Source organism: Homo sapiens, chromosome 3, assembly GCF_000001405.40.
Source record: "Homo sapiens chromosome 3, GRCh38.p14 Primary Assembly".
Taxonomy (NCBI): Eukaryota; Metazoa; Chordata; class Mammalia; order Primates; family Hominidae; genus Homo; species Homo sapiens.
The window spans coordinates 148,278,511-148,298,272 of NC_000003.12; the positions used below are offsets into that span (position 1 = coordinate 148,278,511).

The 19,762-nt window shown below is 37.1% G+C and overlaps 1 long non-coding RNA gene across 1 annotated transcript in view, besides 1 other annotated feature; it reads left to right on the forward strand.

The window, feature by feature from the left end:
* Positions 1-2,380: 2,380 nt before the first annotated feature.
* The window catches only part of LINC02046 (long intergenic non-protein coding RNA 2046), a 119,066-nt gene continuing 101,684 nt past the window's right edge, over positions 2,381-19,762 (forward strand). The window contains exons 1-2 of the long non-coding RNA NR_146712.1: positions 2,381-2,599; positions 10,425-10,533. This is a non-coding gene — a long non-coding RNA (long intergenic non-protein coding RNA 2046). The remainder of the gene's footprint in view (positions 2,600-10,424; positions 10,534-19,762) is intronic.
* Positions 10,202-11,513: an enhancer, noted in NCBI's record as "VISTA enhancer hs1115". NCBI's record gives its function as "enhancer in: midbrain (mesencephalon)[5/7]" and the evidence as "EXISTENCE:transgenic organism evidence [ECO:0001131][PMID:17130149]".

The following is a 19,762-nucleotide window of genomic DNA, read 5'->3' on the forward strand; positions in this document are numbered from 1 at the left end:
ACTTGGACCTCAGGTCTATATTCTCTGTAAGAGGGGACAGAGGAGGGTAAGGTAAATGCCAGGAGGGTGGGAAGAAGGAAATTTGCCTTGGTGCAACCCAGGAAGCCATCTCTTCTGCTGTAGGCAGCTAGGCAGTACTCAGGTAGCAGAGAGAGAGAGATGGCATGAAGAGTTTCTGTGTGACAATAGGAGAGCTCATGGTTTTTGGCCCACACGCTGCAGTAACTGAATTTCTCAGGCTCAGCTAGAGGGTATGGGGGTCTGTGGAAGGGGTATATTTTCAGAATAACAGTGGCAGAATTACCTGGGTTAAGTCACAGCATGGCCTAAGTGAAAAAGTACTATATTGCTATGAGAAGAAATGAATTATCCACCAAAAGATCTGTAAGAATTGGCTAATTTGTTATAAAAGCAACCAGGAGAAAAAAGTCTAGGAGTATATATTGAGGATGCAGAAGCAGGGAGGGAAGATTATTAAACTTGTAGATATTGACTGATTTGAGTTTATTGATATGAAGACACTCTACTGTGCCTTAGGATTTAATCTCCTGGCAAAAACCAGGAGAACAAATGACTTATATTAGATACCAGCCAGATTTGGCACTTGGTTATTCGAATGCTCATTCAATAGACTCAGGAATAGAGTAGCAATAATGACAGGAAAGGAAACTATGCACCAGCTCCATATCCTTCTCTTCCTTCACTGTGGCTAATGTAGCTGCTGCTGTTGCTGAATATCTGATCTTCAAACAACAGTTACCAACACTAAGCACGGAGGCCACCTCCCAACCACCACCCCCAATATAGGGATATCCCATGAAGAGACCAACCAACATTACAATGTGGGCCTTATTAGTCTGACTAGTGTTTCATCCTTACTAGGACAGATGTGTGTTTGGCTATGGGTTTGCCTTCTCTATCTTTTTAACACCGTATCTGAGTAAAAGGCATAAAAAGCATTAGATTCCCAATGAGATAACCTTTGATTAAGAGTGGAGAAATGAGCAAGTAACCACAGGACCTACTAATTCAACCATATACCACATCATGATAGCCTCTTAAAGTCTCAGCTTGCGGCATCTGCAAGGTTGGGGCACCATCTTTCAAAATGTGAGGTAAAATTCCAACTACTGGCCATTATATGACGTTGTATCCCAGGTAATTAGAATGCAATGATCTGAAAACCAAAGGGTGTCGAATTCTGCAGATCATATAGAGCAGGAAAAAAAAAGAAAGAAAACCAGAGTTAACATAGTAGTGGTCCCTCTTACCGTGTCCGGAATTGGTGGGTTCTTGGTTTCACTGACTCCAAGAATGAGACTGCAAAACCTCGCCTGAGTGTTACGGTTCTTAAAGGTGGCCTGTCCAGAGTTTGTTCGTTTTGATGTTGGGAGTTTCTTCCTTCTGGTGGGTTCGTGGTCCCGCTGGCTCAGGAGTGAAGGTGCAGACCTCCACGGTGAGTGTTACAGCTCATAAAGGCAGCATGGACCCAAAGAGTGAGCAGTAGCAAGATTTCTTGCAAAGAGCAAAAGAACGAAGCTTCCACAAACTGGAATAGCACCGGAACAAGTTCCCACTGAGGGCTCGGGCAGCCTGCTTTTATTCTCTTATCTAGCCCCACCCATATCCTGCTGATTGGTCCACTTTACAGAGAGCCAATTGGTCTGTTTTACAGAGGGCTGATTGGTCCGTTTTGACAGGGTGCTGATTGGTGCGTTTACAATCCCTGAGCTAGACACAGAAGTTCTCCAGGTCCCCACTAGATTAGCTAGATACAGTGTCCACACAAAAGTTCTCCACGTCCCCACTAGATTAGCTAGATACAGAGTGTCGACTGGTGCATTCACAAACCCTGAGCTAGACACAGGGTGCTGATTGGTGTGTTTACAAAACTTGAGCTAGATAGAGTGCCGATTGGTGTATTTACAATCCCTTAGCTAGACATAAAGGTTCTCCAAGTCCCCACCAGACTCAGGAGCCCAGCTGGCTTCACCCAGTGGATCCCGCACTGGGGCCGCAGGTGGAGCTGCCTGCCAGTCCCACGCCCTGCGCCCGCACTCCTCAGCCCTTGGGTGGTCGATGGGACTGGGCGCCGTGGAGCAGGGAGTGGCGCTGGTTGGGGTGCCTCGGGCCGCGCAGGAGCCCACGGCGGGGGCGAGGCTCAGGCATGGCGGGCTGCAGGTCCCGAGCCGTACCCCGCGGGGAGGCAGCTAAGGCCCGGCGAGAAGTCGAGCACAGCAGCTGCTGGACCGGGTGCTAAGCCCCTCACTGCCCCGGGCGCGGGGCCGGCTGGCCGCTCCGAGTGCTGGGCCTGGGAGGCCACGCCCACCCGGAACTTGCCCTAGTCCGCAAGCGCAGCGTGCAGCCTGGGTTCCCGCCCGCGCCTCTCCCGCCACACCTCCCTGCAAGCTGAGGGAGCCGGCTCCTGCCTTGGCCAGGCTAGAAAGGGGCTCCCACAGTGCAGGGGCGGGCTGAAGGGCTCCTCAAGTGCCACCAAAGTGGGAGCCCAGGCAGAGGAGGTGCCGAGAGCGAGCGAGGGCTGCGAGGACTGCCAGCAGCTGTCACCTCTCGTTACCATCACTCCTAGTGACCATTTCGGGTAAGGGGAGCTCTCTGTTCCTCAAATTTTAGATACTACTACATTAGAAGATCTAGTTCCCAGAATAGAAATGTTTCTTCCAGGAGGTGAAGTATGGATTTTAGTAAATATAAAGCTCAGGATATCACCTGGCCATTTTAGTCTCCAATGCTAGAAGACCAGCTGACATACATTGTACTATACAGGCAGTGTAATTGATCCTGATTATTATGAAAAAACTACATTGATACCTCATAAAGGACTCAAGAAGGTATATGTTTGGGCTGGGCTTGGTGGCTCACGGCCGGTGGGAGGCCGAGGCAGGCAGATCACGAGGTCAGGAGTTCGAGACCAGCCTGGCTAACATGGTGAAACCCCGTCTCTACTAAAAATACAAAAATTAGCTTAGCTAGGCATGGTGGCAGGAGCCTGTAATCCCAGCTACATGGGAGGCTGAGGCAGGAGAATCGTTTGAATCCAGGAGGCGGAGGTTGCAGAGAGCCAAGATCATGCCATTGCACTGCACTGGGCAACAAGGCAAGACTCTGCCATCTCAAAAAAAAAAAAAAAAAAAAGGTAAAGGTATATGTTTAGAGGCTTAGACTCCTAAGGGATGAAGGCCTGGTTTACCCATTGGGCAAGCAACCTAGACTAGCAGAAGTGCTATCTGAGAGTGAGAGAAATAAAGATTGGGTTGTAAAGGAGTGAGATAATTAATAGTTTACAAATTCTGGCCTAGGGGCTGACTGCAGCTGCAGGCAAAACCACAACTTCAGTTTTATGTTTGTTTCATATTATTTTTAAGAATTTTAAATTTTTGAAACAACAGCTATCCAGACCTGTGAGAGAATTAAAAAAAAAAAAGAGAGAGAGAGAGCGAGAGGAAGAAAAATAACTAGACATCATCTTGAAGAGTCAGTGACCAAACATAGTGAAATTAAACTGGAGCATAAGTGAATCAGAAGGATACAAGGGATGGACCACAGTAGACCCTGCCATGGTACTGCCAGTTTCCCCTTAGCACTTAGTGCTCTCATTCAGCTTCTTAAGGCAACACTTAGAAGCTATTAACAGTGTTGAGGAACATACTCAGCCACAACATGGGAAAGGCTGAGGTGCTGGGGAATTAATCCCCTCAAGAACATTCCTCAACCAATGGTGGATGAGAGTTGAAGGATAAATGCCCCAGCTTTCTAGTCCCTCTGCTGGGGCAACTCTCAGAGATGAATTACAATCTTTCAGAGGCACCCATCAGGATTGAATTTTAGTAGACAAAAGCAGTAATCTGCTCACTAATGCACATTCATTTTTTTTCTTCACCTTGCTGACTCACTTTCCTACTCTCCTACCAATGTTTTCTTGAATAATATGTCAAACAAAATACTTTTACTCAAATCCTTGTTTCGGGATCTGTTTCTGGGGAAGCCAACTGGAGAAACTCTTGAGGAAGCATTAGGGGGACTATCAATCCACGTAAAAGGCAACTGAAGGATATGTATCAGAAAAGGTGTTATTTTTTTCTTAGAGGAATTAAAAAATATGTTTCTATTAATTGGACTATTAAGTATAGAAAAACAAATACAAAATGTTATATTAATTATATAAGAGTTAATTTTCAATATTTAAAGAAGTTTAAAGACATATTAAGAGAAGAGGTTAATATAATCTTTATTGAAAGGATCTAAACAAAGAGAAATATTAAATGTGTTCATAATAGGAGAGTTCTTTTATGGAAAAAATGCATGTTTCAGTTATATATCTGCTTTGCATCTTATTTTGTCAAATCAGGAAAATTAATGATTTGGATAATTGTTGATAAAGTAGAAATTATTGGCATTAATCATTGACATAATGTGTTTCTAAAAATCTCTTATAAAGCATTTTTCTGTGTTACTAGCAACCAATATGTTGGACATAAAACAATACTGTGAATTAGACCCTATGAGATATTGTCTGGATAGAAAACTCACTATTAATGATCCCTCATTCATGATTTTTTTGTGGGACCTATACACGCAAAGTGTTTCTTTTGGGAGGCTTATGTTCTTCTAGGCTACAAAGCTGGTTTGTAGCATTTGTAGCATTTGTAGCATCTGCTGTAGGCTCAGGGTCTAAAAAGGAGTCCTCATAGCCTAACCTCAAATACAGATCTTACCATCACCCTGATGCTAAGTCAGAAAGGATGCACCTGTTGAAGCACACATATAAGATGAAACAAACAAACAAAAAAAGATCTGTAAGAATAAAAAAGTGTGTCATTAGGAAGTATTTGAGATAACATCACTGGAAGCAGACAAAGGCGATCCCTTGTAGATGTAATTTTTTAAAATATTTTCACCTTTTATTTTAGATTTGGAGGGTACATGTGCAGGTTTGTTATGTGGGTATAATGTGTGATGCTGAGGTTTGGGGTAGAAATGATCCCATCCTTCAGGTGGTAAGCATAGTACTTGATAGTTTTTCAACCTTTGCCCCCCTCCCTCCCTCCCTCCCTGTTCTAGTAGTCCCCAGTGTCTATTGTTGCCATCTTTATGTCTGTGAGTACCCAAGGTTTAGCATCCACTTATAAGTGGATGTGGATACCACATCCACAAATACATGTGGTATTTGCTTTTCTGTTTCCGCATTAATTCACTTAGGATAATGGCCTCCAGCTGCATCCATGTTGCTGCATAGGACATAATTTCATTCTTTTTTAGGGCTGCATATTATTTTTACATTGAGAAAAAGGACAAAAATATTTCAAGATAACATAGAAGGCAACTTTTCTGAAAATAAAAGTAATTGCATTTGTCAATTGAAAGAAAAAAATAGGTCCCAGAAAAATTTGATACATAAGTATTAACGCCAAGACAATACAAAGTATTAACCCTGAAATCAAAAGTCATGAAATGGTTGTGCAGGATCTAGATTTTAGGCAAAAACAAAACAAAACAAAACAATAACTCATGAAAAGGCTGTGTAGTAGTTTGCTAGGGTTGCCATAACAAAATACCACAGACTATGTGACTTAAATAACAGAAATTTATCTCACAGTATGGAGGCTGGAAGTCTAAGATCAAAGTGTCTGCAGGTTTGGTTTCTCTTGATGCCTCTCTCCTTGCCTTGCTGATGACCATCTTCTCTCTATGTCCTCATGAGGGCTTTTTTCTGTGAGTATGCATCCTTGGTGTGTTTCTTCTGATAAGGACACCAGTCTTATTGAATTAAGGTTCCCACCCATATGACCTCATTTAACCTTAATTTCCTCCTTAACAGTGACATTGGGGGTTAGGGCTTTAACATATGAATTTTGAAGTGGACTCAATTCAGTCCACAACAGGCAGTCAGGAAAGATATCCAATTTTCTATGAGAAGGTGACAGTAGGCTTGCTTCACATTACTGCAGCAACACTCAATCTATGACGCAGCTGAGTTAAAAAAAAAAAAAGAAAAAAAAAAGAAGGATGTTATCAATAATTTTATAAATAGGCAAGTTGTTTTCAAAGCATTCTTAAGGCCTTTTTAACTTGTGTAAACTGAGGTAAATATTTTTCCTGAGCCCTCTTAAAAACAAAATTTAAGAATAAATTCCCCCTGAGAAACCAATGGAAAATCATAGTTAAAATCCATAGACATGTAGAGACATACGTAGTCACATAGGTAAAAGAACTGCATTTAAATAACTATTAGGATTATAACTACAAACAAGAATGTATAAGAAGCTCCAAAGTGGTTAAAAAATTGTTTACCATTTATCTAAGGCTTAGAAAGGAATTCAGTGACAAATTGTCCTTCAAATTAAATTAGTACCCCAAAATTTACCCATGTACAATAATTCTTATTATAACACTAATCATGTACCTATAACTAAAAAATATCCAAATGCCTCTCAATGGCAATAACTATATAAGTTATAATGTATTCAAATAATGGAATACAATACAGCAATGAGAATAGATTACTATAAGTAACAATATAGGTAAATCTCACAAATAATAAGAGAAAAGCCAGACACAAAAGGTTGCATAGTATCTTATTTGATTTATATAAAACTTAAATAGGCAAAATTAATGCATGTGTTAGAGATCAATATAGGATGTAGTGTTTTAAAAAGTGGACACAGTGTGGGGTTTCTGGGGTACTGGTTCTTTTTTTTTTATCTGGATGCTGGTTGCATGTGTGCACTCTTTCTGCAAAGGATCTGTGTACTTTTATACATCTATGCTACACTTCAGAAAAGTTCAAAGAAATTATATTACTAAAGGCAGCCTTAAAACACCTGTTCAGCACATATCAAATAAAATTCTTAACAGTCAAAAACCAGGCAAGGATCGGTAAAACTTAGTTACATAAGACTGGTAGCAATCATTTTAAATCCCATTTTTAAGTCTGAAGGAGATATTAGGTTAAGGGGTATACTCCATAACAGTTGCTTTTGGAGAGAAGACATTGATTAAAACAAGAGATATTACAGTCTATTTTTTGTTAATAAGTAAAGATAAGACATAAGGCTAAAATTATTGAGGACAGAGGATATGGGGGAAAGGGGCCATAGCAGAGGAAACCTGAGTCCTTGAAAGATTAAAACATCCATGGAAAGCAGTGATTCGGAGGACCTCTTGCAGATTGATAGTCAAAGAGGCCATTGGGGGAATTTGAGAGGGAAAATTTCAGCTAAAGGAATTAACTTCTTGACACATTTGTGACTTAAATGTTTTGCTCACATCCCAGGTCCAATCAAACACTAAAATCTGTTTTTTTCTACATTTTAAAAATCTTTGTAATCTGCTGCTTCTTTATGACCATAGTGTCTTTACCTTGGACCAGGGCAACTGCACTTGAATTACTGCACACTTATTTCTTTGGCCTCATACCCTTTCAAGATATTTTCCATGGTAAATCAAAATGTTTCTGAAACCTGACCATGTTAAAGTTTACCTGAGCCCTGTGCTCCTAGAAAGTAGATACAATTAAGGAGCCCTCCCACACTTTTGTATTTTGAATATGGCTTACTGCAAAGAATCACCCTTCCCCTTGTAACTTAGATACAACTCACAGCTCCTCCCTTTGTTTACCTATGACAACAGGACACACAGATATTTAGTCTCCAAATTCCCATTCTTTTCCTCATACGTGATTAGCTGAACTTTCTGTACTTACTGACTAATCTGAACAAAATGCCTCCTAACATGTCTAGTTAAGCTTCTCTCCTTCCCCCAGGTCCGTAAGTTTTGACCCGTCATTAGCATAAGCCAGCACAGAAATTGTCCGTAATAGTCCCTCACAGTTGTAGACTGACCTCAGGGTAAAACATTCTCTCATCTGCTATCCAATCATGCCCTTTCCATCCGTTCATCTCATTTTCCCACACTTGTTTTTTTTTTTCTATCCTTGTTCACTACCCCCTATAAAAGAAAAGTGTTTTTGGCTGGACACAGTGGCTCATGCCTATAATCCCAGCACTTTGGGAGGCCGAGGCAGGCGGATCACGAGGTCAGGAGATCGAGACCATCCTGGCTAACACGGTGAAACCCCGTCTCTACTAAAAATACAAAACAAAACAAAACAAAAATAAATTAGCCAGACGTGGTGGCAGGCACCTGTAGTCCCAGCTACTTGGGAGGCTGAGGCAGGAGAATGGCGTGAACCTGGGAGGCAGAGCTTGCAGTGAGCCGAGATTGCACCACTGCACTCCAGCCTGGGAGACAGAGCAAGACTCTTGTCTCCAAAAAAAAAAAAGAAAAAAAAAGTGTTTTTTTCTGCCTGAACTTTGAAACATTTGCAGATGTCATTGTTGGAGCATCCTTCTTATTTCAATAATCTCTCTGCTCTTATTGAAATAGTCTACCTTCTCTTATTACAATAATCTTTTTGAATAAGGTTACCTAAATCTGGATTAGACACATCAAAACCTAATCATACCATCTCCCTATTTGAAACCTGATTGTCTTTTTACTGTTTTTAAGATAAAGTTCAAATTCCTTTGTTTCCCAGGCCCTTGATGGGTAAGTTTATCCCATGGCTATTTACCTTTAATCCTGTCTCTTTCCACTCCTAAACCACCTCCCTTGCTATTACCCTTTATCAAGCCCTTCTGTATGTCTTTTCAGTTACTTAATTTATGTTTTCTTTGGAAGGTAGAGTTCAACTCTCTGTCTCCTTGCCTTGCCTCAGCCTTTCTGGTTTTACTTATCTCTCAGGCCTCAGGTTTGGTGCTCCCTCATCCAGGAGACCCTCTGTGGCCCAACATTTAAGGGCTTGATGTTCTTTTAAATTCTTTTAAAAACTTTTTGTATTCTTCCTCTCATTGTAACTTCTTCTTTAATAATCTTCTCTATTATGAGACTCTGTACTTTAAGAAGAAAGAGACTATGTGCTTTTTATTGTTGCATCAACAGTATCTATCACATAGAAGACACTCAATATCAATTATATCTGTACAATTGTATTAATGGAATGAAAGAATGAATTGATTGCTTAGACACAGGAGAAGTGGAGATCAAAATATTGAATCTGCCATCAGCAAAGAACAGTTTATTAGTATTAGTTTGGTTACAAGTATCAAAAACTGAACTGAACTACTTTAGGCAGGAAAAGGTGATGCTACTGATGTCATAAGAAAATTAAGGTAAGGGACATGTGAATTAGTTAAGGCTCTCTCAATTTCAGGAAACTCAACTTTAGCTAAAACTTTCTGGGCTGGATTTAGCTTTAAGGTGAAACTTAAATGAAGAGTCCAAGTGCTGATTCATAATCTGGTCTCTCATTATCTCCAGTTTTTCACTGTTCTCTTCTGTGTGAAAGTCTCAATCTCAAGCCCCATTGGGTGATAAGATGAGGGGAATGGAGCTTCCCCTCCTCCCAACTTCTCCAAGATCAACTTCCAGAGCAGCCTTTGTTGTTGTTGTTTTCTAGTGGTTTATATAAAAGTTCTGAAACCCATTATGAGGTAACTGAACTAAGTCACGTGTGCTCTCCGAACCAGTCACTGTCATGCACAGAACGTAATTCCCTTTTTGTCCTAAACTTATGTTACATACTCATCCCTGCATATGGAGGTGAAGCCATGATCAAACCTCAAAATTGAGAGTGGGAGAAAGCTAAATCTCCATCCTAACATTGATGCTGCTGCTAGATTAGCAACAAAAGCAGCAGAGGCAAAGGACAAATGATCCCTACAGGAGATGATAGAGATGAACTAGGGACAAATAAGCCAGGAGCCCTAATGCCCTCAGGCCATGCCCTCCCTGCCTGTGCCACACTCTGCACTGTTACTTTCACCACAGAGCTAAGCTATGGCTCATAGTTCACTTTCCTTCTTTCTACTTCAACAAATGTGACTACACATTAACATTTTAACACTTGAAAATGTATTAAACATTCATTTTCTTTTCGACAATAAATAGTGAATATTTTATTGCATTTCTAAATGAACAATGTAAAAAATATGTTGCTATAGTAGTTACAGGATAACCATAGGACACAAATGCCCATATCCAATTAGTGTGCCATTAAACACTTGTCACACATGGCAACAATACTAATCAAACTCATTATCCTAGAGAAAATATAAAAACTAAGAGGTAATTAAAATGTCCCATTACATAGTAGGGAAAATCTACCACATTAAATTCTCTGTAATGCCAAATAAATGACCCTGAAAAAGTCAGACAAAGTAATACAATTCTTCATGGTGCTTTTGGTACAATTTTTCAAAGTTGCTATGTTTTCTGTTCAAACCATATTTAATCCTGAGTTTGTGGAACTCTTTTCCCTATCTTTCTTTATCTGTCCAAGCGCATGAAAGAATTCTCTGTAAATAGATTTTAACTGCAATTAACAGCAAATTAATCCTTCCCTCTAGATAATCCACCTTGCCTCATCAAACCAGAAAACAATTCAAACCTGGCCTCCTTCTAACTGGAAGCCACATTTTAAGAACTTATTGTGAAGAACTGGAAAGCCTCCAATAGGTGAGTGTAACTAAGGTAATTTGAATATGGGTGAATACAGGAACAATTCCCAGGCTCTGTTACTCTCTTTGTTGAAACCCATTCTTTTGGAAAATCATTTTCTTTAGCCATTGGACAACAAAATGCATTGTCAAGAAATTTTATAGCAATAATTATAAAAGATGTCCATTTGAACCCATTGAGGTCTCACTGATTTTATAACACCCAGCAGACCTCCCTGCAGGAGAACACTATATTTATGTGAGCAATATATGCGAGAATTGAGATCGTAAAATTAAATGACCACATAGAACTGTCATTTATATGATGAGCGCCTACATATGTGAAGGCTGGTTTATTTTGCAGTGTCGGGTTGCGTTAAATGGTCCACTCTCAGTAAATGTTTTTAATCACGCATTTCTTCACTCTTTCTGCAGTATTACACTTGAAGGACTGGTAAGCAGTTTGCTATGAAATGCTAAATGGTTACTGGTACTGCTATTCTGACAGAAGAGCTCACTAAAATAGAAGTACAGTACATATTGTATGCAATTGTTTTATGAGAGACATTATGGTTACTAGAATAACATTTCACCATTACCAACTGCTGAGAGAAAAGTCATTAAGATATTTGGCAAGCCAGTGCAATTTTTCAACAGAACTATAGTATAAGACCATAGAACAGCTTCCATATAGAGAGGCTGGCTGTCTCACAAGAAAAAAAAAAAGAAATCAAGTCTCAAGTCTTCTATGTTGTTTTATTTATAGTTGTTTATTTTCAGAGTCCATTGAAAAAGTTATAAGATATGTCATGTATGTCAGGAGAAACATAGCAAATGCTTATGTGCAATATATGTATATTTCACATATAAGTATTTTCTGTATATGTGCATGTTTAGTGTGTGTGTATGTAAAAGATTAATCTCTTGTGATAAATCTTACAACAACTTCAGTGTGTTAAAACTCACCTTTTCCCAGGGAATTGCCTTTGTTCAGAAATTATTATGTACATTTTTAACAGTTAATTTCTTGTTGTTGTTTCTTTTTTTAATAAGAAGACATTCATGAATGGGGCAGAGGTGAGAATATGGATTAGTCTGAAGGCACTTCATCCAAATAAAGGAAAATAAAATAAGCAGCTTGCTGTAAACATTTAACGTTTCCTACCATGTATTGGTGGTTTAAAAAAAGAGAAAGTCATGATAACAGCTTTATAAATGTTTTGCAAATATATATACCCAAAATATATATACACACGTTTGTGTGTATTTGTATACATATTATATATATGTATAAAATATCTGCACAGTAGATAACTTTTTGATTGCTAAACCAACAAAGCTTGCCACTTGCTCCTGCCAATGCTACTTTCTTATGCTACTTCTTTATACTTCATTTCATCAAGAAAAAATGCCAGCATTCACCAAAAGCAAATATACTTTGGAGTGTCTCTAAAACAACAAACATATAACCAAATTGGAATTATTTAGTCAGATACATGAATATATATGAATAATCGTGAAGGCAAAACTAAGCTACCTTTCTCATCACTGCTGTGGTCCCTTCAGTAAATGGCATACAATCTTAAACGGAGCTCCTAGTCAGTAACTATCAGCTGGATGAATATTCAGAAAAAAGATGCTGGAGATGTAATAAATAATAGTTTTTAATAGATATTTTAAATTACCCAGAAAACGGAATTCTATTTCTGTATATTCAAGACTTTTGACTCCATATAGAGAGGCCCTGAGTTTCTCACAGAAGTTATAAAGGAAAAATAAAAGCTATGCAGTCAATTCAGTTAAAAAAAAATCAACCCAGCTGAATTAAGCAAATTTTTTATTATTTGGAGGTGCCTATAGAAAAATCCAAAGTAGGAGCTAAATGATGAAAACTCGTGAACACAAAGGAACAACAGACACTGGGGTCTCCTTGAGGGTGGAGGGTGGGAGGAGAGAAAGGAGCAGAAAAAATAATTATGGGGTACCAGGCTTAGTACCTGGGTGATGAAATAATCTGTGCAACAATCCCCCATGACAGGAGTTTACTTGTGTAACAAACCTGCACATGTATCCCTGAACCTAACATAAAAGTTTAAAAAAAGAAACATCCAAATTATATATAACTTGTAGAATCATGATGTTTAATTAAATAGCTCAGCATAGCTAGGTCTTATTTCTATCAAGGTCTCTATGACTCATTTTACAAAAGCCAGTTTTTATCTCTCCAGTTACTGATAATAAAATTCATCAGTATCATTAAAATAAATGTAGATATCACCTTTTTTTTTACACAATTTTGGACGGCACCAAGGTGACAAGGAAGATAATGTTCTAGATGGAGGTGATTTTTCCTAACAAGGAAATGAAGTAAACTCTTAACTGCTGATCTTTCAATAATCTCCTTTTCATTCATGCACTTTGTTTCAAATAAATTATTATAGCATCTTATACAGATGGTATAATTAACCTACTTTATTTAAAATTAACAAGTTTCTTTCTTTACCTACTCTGCTGTATCCCATCATAGCTACATTTCTTCCCAATGGAAGCCAAAATGGCCTGACATAGTCACTGACTTTCTATACCTAGAGATTTCGATGTGGTGGAAAGAAAGGGGAAGAGACTGGAAGAGCTGAAGCACGGTATCCTTTGGTTCTACTTCTCCCTTTGTACCCAGATCAAACCCAGATCCAATCACAAATCAGCCTGTAAAAATTCTAAAACCTGTACACACTGTAAAGCCCATTCCACTATGCCATGTGGAAGCAGAAAGGAGTTAACTCCACTCTACCGTGAAAGCTCTAGCACCGTTTCACTTTTTCTTTTTTGCTTTTTTTGTTCTTTCTTTCTTTTCTTTCTTCTTTCTTTCTCTTTCTTTTTATTTCATTCCTTTTTCACCTTTCTTTCTTTGTCTCTGTCTTTTCTTTTTCTTTGCTTTCTTTCTTTCACTAGCATCTCCTAGCATTATAAGTCGTATGTGGCAGGTTGTATTTGAATGAATTAATAAATGAATGAATATACAGAGGAATAAATTAAACAGTAATGGAGTAAACAAATGAGCGAATAAATAGTTTGAATTACTGTCACATAATACGTTTCCTATATTAAGCACATAAACTTAATTACCTTGCAATGGAAAATATTTATAAGAATATTATTATATATTTCCATATATAGGTATTGAAGGTGTTATTCATATTTGATAAGAAGAAATAACGTAGCACAGAAAACTTTTAAAAATTCAGTGCAAAAGGCATTGCCTTTGCCAAACTATAAGGATTTTTTTTTCTAGTGGAGTGGCTGACACCTTAAAAATGCTGAACAGCAGCCCTTGTAAAACAATTTTAACAAAATAGATACTTCAGTTTAAAGAGAGATATAAAAATCTGCCTGGTAAACAAAAGTCTTATTTTTTAAAAGTTCTTCAAGGCTGTGACCCTGGGGAAAGCTTAAATAAACTCAATGAAGAAAAAAAATTAAATCATAAAAGTTGAATAAGTCAAAATATAAAATATTCAATTATTATTTCCTGTGGGGTTTATTTTGTAAATATTTTATCCACAGTCTATAGTCAGCTTCTTCTCCTTCTCATCTTTTAAGGACTATCTGGGGAATAAACCCACATTTCCCCACTCAGTTGCTTGACTTCCTTTTAGTCTTCTTATAATTTATTAAATGATGTTTTTTAAAACATAAGTACTTCAAGTTTTCCTTCTTGCTGCTTTGTGTTTTGTTCCTTTCACCCACAAAATTGCCACAATTAGTGATATAAAAAGGATCCATTAGGGCATCAGCCCATCCTTTGGGGTTTTAGCTATAATTGTTTCTTTCATGGAAGTGCCTCCAGTCCTGCCTCACATACACTGTGTTGAATGTCCCAATATGACATAACTCTCTTAAGATACAGGAGATTTTATTTCATTCAATATTCAGAAACCCCCAGAAGTGTTTCTCATTCATGTTACAATTTTTAAAATAATAATGTGACCATCAAAGTTTATCTCATTACTTTTCTACTATGCACCTGTTCATAAAATGTGAGCCCAGGGTGAATATTGGATAAAGTTTAAAATGCTTTAAATATGAATAAGCCTATAAGAATTGACTTTATGTTGAAATAAATGGCTTAACGTTCAGATATGTAATAAAGCTATATCACTATTTTTTAAATCAACATAATTGGTAGCCATTCACCATATTACCATGATTTTTCCATCCCAACAACAGACTACATGGTTTTTCTAGTAAATCCAAGTTATCAGAAAGTGTTAGTCTCTGATACATCTTTTTATTTTAAACATAAGCATATTTCTTTTACTATAGAGGCTAACTTAAAATTATGGGAATTTTTTTATTAACTAAGCCATACTTTACAGGTCAACAATAGCATGTTATTTAAGTTACAACTTGCTTTCAAATTTATATTTTGGATAACTTATGATTATCACATATTTAATTTATTTAAGTAGGAGGAAAAATAATAATTATAATTACATATTTTATTCTACAGTATATCTTGATGTAAATTGATCATATTCATACCTGCCACTCATATTTTGAATAGTCTTTCTATATGTGGGAAAAATCTCACACTGGGTGTCTTCTCCCCAGTATGGAAGGCAGAGCCAAAATTCTCTAATTCTCCAGCAATTATTGCCCAGAAATATGACCTCAGCTACACCAATCAGAATAACCTAGAGAAGATTGTTTTGGACATTATCAACATGATGCCAGACACTACACAGACTTTCTATTTTATTGGTGTAGTTGGAGCAAAGTAGCACTCCTAGAAAAGAAGTGACATCCATGCTGTGGTAGTCATGGTTTCTTTCAGAAAAATCTCATAGCTGATCTTTGCTTCTCTGTGGTGGCTGTGGCACCAGGGAGGTTCCCTCATCAGGCCATGACAGCCTGGTCATGAGCATTGCTCCTGGCAATTAGTTTTAAATCTTCATCTTTCTAGTCATTCTGAAGATGCTCTAAGCAACCTAATCTTTTTTAATAAACTATTGTTTTTTGTTTAAATCTGCAAGTGTAGATTCTGGTACTTGCAACTAAGAGGTCTAACTGATATACAAGGTTCTCATTATGTTCATAAGACCATCAAGGTTGGGACATTTTTTAGTGCTCTATGATTATAAGATTGGAAGAAAAATGAAGTAATAGTAAGTAAATAAAATTTTCTGAAAGTTTTTGAAACCTAAGTTATGATCTAATTTAATAAGCTATAGAATGACCTGGTAAGTCAGTAAAAGCCATAGAAAATACTTAAGAAATAATTCAAAATTAATGGTATAATTAGGGATAGACACATGATTTAAAAAATTGTATTAAATTTCAAATTGCATTTACTCGGGAGTGCACTGGAAAATTTGTTTATCCTCACTGTCTAGAATACAATTACTAGAATCCTTTGCCCAACAATACTGAGTAAATGTAAAGTGGGAAAAAAAGAAGAAATAATTTTAAAATAACAAGGTGGAAGTCTTGAAAAGGCAAATAACACATAAAAATGACCTCAGGGGGTATGCTATAGTTTTCTTTTTATAAAAAAAAAAATCAATATTTAGTACTCATTTAAAGGAATAAAAGTGACAAGCAAGAGTGACAAGGAAAAGTGTTCTGAAGAGTGACTCTGAATTACGAAATAGCATTTCATATGACAGGGTAGTAAAAGTAGAATACTAATTTAGTGCAACCAATTCATCTATTTTAATTTACACTTTGCACTGTGTCACTCATTCACTAATGCTTGAAATATATAGATGCCTGAGATAGTTCTTGTTCATCAGGGCAGCTCTTGACGCTAAAACAGTAATGTAAATGTCCCCAAAGCAATAGACTATTACCAAATTGATTTATGTGCCATCTCTAGGATACTTTTAAATTCGTAGCCTATCACATGAGTACCATACAAAATTCAACTCAGAATTCAAAATTTAGTTGAAAAAGGACATCTCAGTTACAAACATCATTGCCAGTTAACATTCGAAAAACAGGAAAATATTTAACAGAGAGAACCACAGTTAATTGAATATTTACCCTACCCCAAATATAATGTTACTAAATGGCTGCAAGGGATATCACAATAAAAGAAAAAAATAAATAAGCTGTGCTCTGAATTTGGGCACTCACATGAGCTAATATACTATTCAAATTAAATAAACTAAAATGAGACTATTTTTCTAAAATCTGTTAGTTGATTTTGCCATTATTAAATTGCAGACTTTGTTCTTCAAATACTCCAAGATGGAAAATTCAGATGTAGTTTGAATACAAGGCTCTTAAAAATGACAATATGAAAAAACAATATTTATCTGTTTGATAAACTAATAAGGATATCATATATAATATGAGATATTACTCTCTATATGGTCTATTATATTTAATGTTAATATACATTTGTGGGGAGTGATATGGTTTGGCTGTGTCCTCACGCAAATCTCATCTTGAATCGTAGTTTCCTTAATCTCCACATGTCGAGGAAGGGACCAGGTGGAGATAATTGAATCATGGGGTGGTTTCTCCCATCCTTGTCTGGTGATAGTGAGTTAGTTCTCACAAGATCTGATACTTTTATAAGGGGCTTCCTCCTTCTCTGGGCACTGATTCTTCTCTTTCCTGTGGCCATGTGAAGAAGGACATGTTTGCTTTCCCTTCTACCATGATTGTAAGCCTTCTGGGGCCTCCCCACCCATGCTGAACTGTGATCCAATTAAATCTCTTTCTTTTTAAAATTACCCACTCTCAGGTATGTCTTTATTAGCCTGAGAATGGACTAATACAGGGAGACACTATGTTGAGATATTAACTGGTGTGCTTTCCCCATTCTATACTCACAGACTCTCTTGTTTTTACTCTAAAAGAATCTTTTAACCTCCTTTCACCACCCTCCACAATCGTCCATAGCGATTAGACTTGAAGGATACAGCATGGTTAAGCTGTATTATTGAAAGAAGTGTGGACAAATGGTTAAAAATGCACTCTTGAGCCAGACACTTTGAATTCAAATGCCAGCTTTGTTAAGTTGATAATCAGATAATTTTGAGCAAGTTATTTAATTTTTCCATGCCTCAGTCTCCTCAAACACAAAATAGGATTGTTTTATGGCTTATGTGAGTTTATACGCATGAATTGCTTAGAATAGTGCCTGCTACACAGTAAGCATTAAATGTTCATTGTTATTAGTTGTTACTATGCTCAGAAGTCGTTGATGCAAGTATCTAAACAGATCGAGCTACTTATAGTTTTAACCATTCCAAAAGACTAGATCAAAAGGTGCCAGGCACAGAAGAACAAGTGTAGAGTTGATAATCATACAAGGAGCATGGGAATATGAAAGTCCCAGAGCAAGCACCTCCCACCGCGAGCTCCTGAGAGAAAGGTAGAAGCCAGGGCAGACTGAAATCCAAAGTCAGCTCATTTCTGGCAATCACCCAATTTGGCCAAATGTTTACCTGTTCTTTGAGATTCCATCTAGGTCCGTGGTCTACACCCCAACCCCAATATTGACAAATGCACCCAGCAAACTAGGACTTTTGTATAATCCTCCTGAGAGAATGATGAAAACTTGGAGTGACAAGGTAGTGCCACACAGGGAAAGCCTTGCCCTGCACCAGGATAATTCCAAAGCAACATATTTATTGCCAAATATTTATTGAATTTCTATTAGATTTCTACTAGATATTTTCACAAACATTATATTTTTCTACTACATATAGTTTCTACTAAGTTTCTACTAGATTTTCCCACATGCATTATTTTACTAACAAACTCTAAAAATCAGGAGTACCATAATACTTCAATTCTTCTTTTCTTAATGTAATGGCAAAGTCTACCAAAGATATATATTTTTAAAATGAGTATAGAATGTTAGGCTTTCTGTAATGAAATAGGGCATTCGAGCATATAAAAGGAGCCCTGCAATTAGAATCAGAACACCTACATTTGAATGGGCCCTGCTACCTGGTAGCTAGATGATCTTGTCAAGTCACATAGCCATTTGAGACCTCAATCTCATCTGTAAAATGAGAAACACTGCATTTGTGACCTTACAGAATTATTTTAAGAACCCAATCACATAATAAATATGAAAGCATTTTAAAAACTGTACAGTGCCCTATAATTATCAGGCATAAATCTGCAACAATATGTCAGCTACTTCCTTCTAAATGTCCCACAACAACCTCAATATAAACTCATTCTCTTCTGAGAAATGCACACTTTTATGCAGGAAGATAGCTTTAACTTTGGCAGTAATAACAGGTAATTGTTTTTCTTAGAATTCATTATTACTTTCTATAGAAAACCTTGTTTATAATGTTTAATGATTGAAATGACTCAAAGTTCCTTAATGAAATAATTGGTAAAGGTAATGAAAAATAGTTGATGTGACTTACTTTGCTGTGTTTTTTAGTTCAAGACAGAAAAAGATAACTTTAAAAATAAAAGGGTAGTCTTCTAGGATCCTAAAGAAAAGAGGCCAAACACATACTTAACCCTTGTTTTGTGTGGAAAACCACAGTTATATTGCCCCGAGTCCCCAATAAGGGGACAATGAGTACCCAAATTAAAATCATAGAAATGGTTGCCAATATATATTTGTTGTATTGAAAAGCTGAAAGGTAGGAAAATAATAGCTATGTTCCTGTCCCATGTCCTGATAATGACAGTAGTAGTGATACTGGCTAATCAAAAAGGTCAAATCAATTCAAAAGAGCAACCCTAGAGGAGTTTTGCATGTTTAACTTAATTTCATTATGTGATTGGTATTTATTAGAGTCAAATCCTGAGTAGTCAAGAATTGATTATCTAGTTTGTAAACTATCTAGGGATTTTTTAGGGTCTCTCTTACTGCCTCCATCTCCTAAGTTTTGGTCATTTCAATGTCAACTACCCTCCCTGCTGAATGGTGGATAGAGAAAGTAAAAAAGAAACACAAAATGTGCTATATCATGGCTTAGCAATCCTGACAAAGGCTCATGAGAGATAATTTGGAAGAATTCAGCATGGGTTATTTGTAGATTTCTATATTTAATTATATTTGTGTTCTTCCTTAATTTATCTCATTTAATTAATAACATTTTATTTCCCTTACTGACAAATGGTAACTCTAAAGGGCCAACTCAAGTATATTTCAAATTCCATGAAGACATTTATCTAAAAGCAAATTAATGATACTTTAAAACATCTTATTTTGCATGGTATTTTTTATTTTGTAATAACAATACATTTTTAAATTATAGACC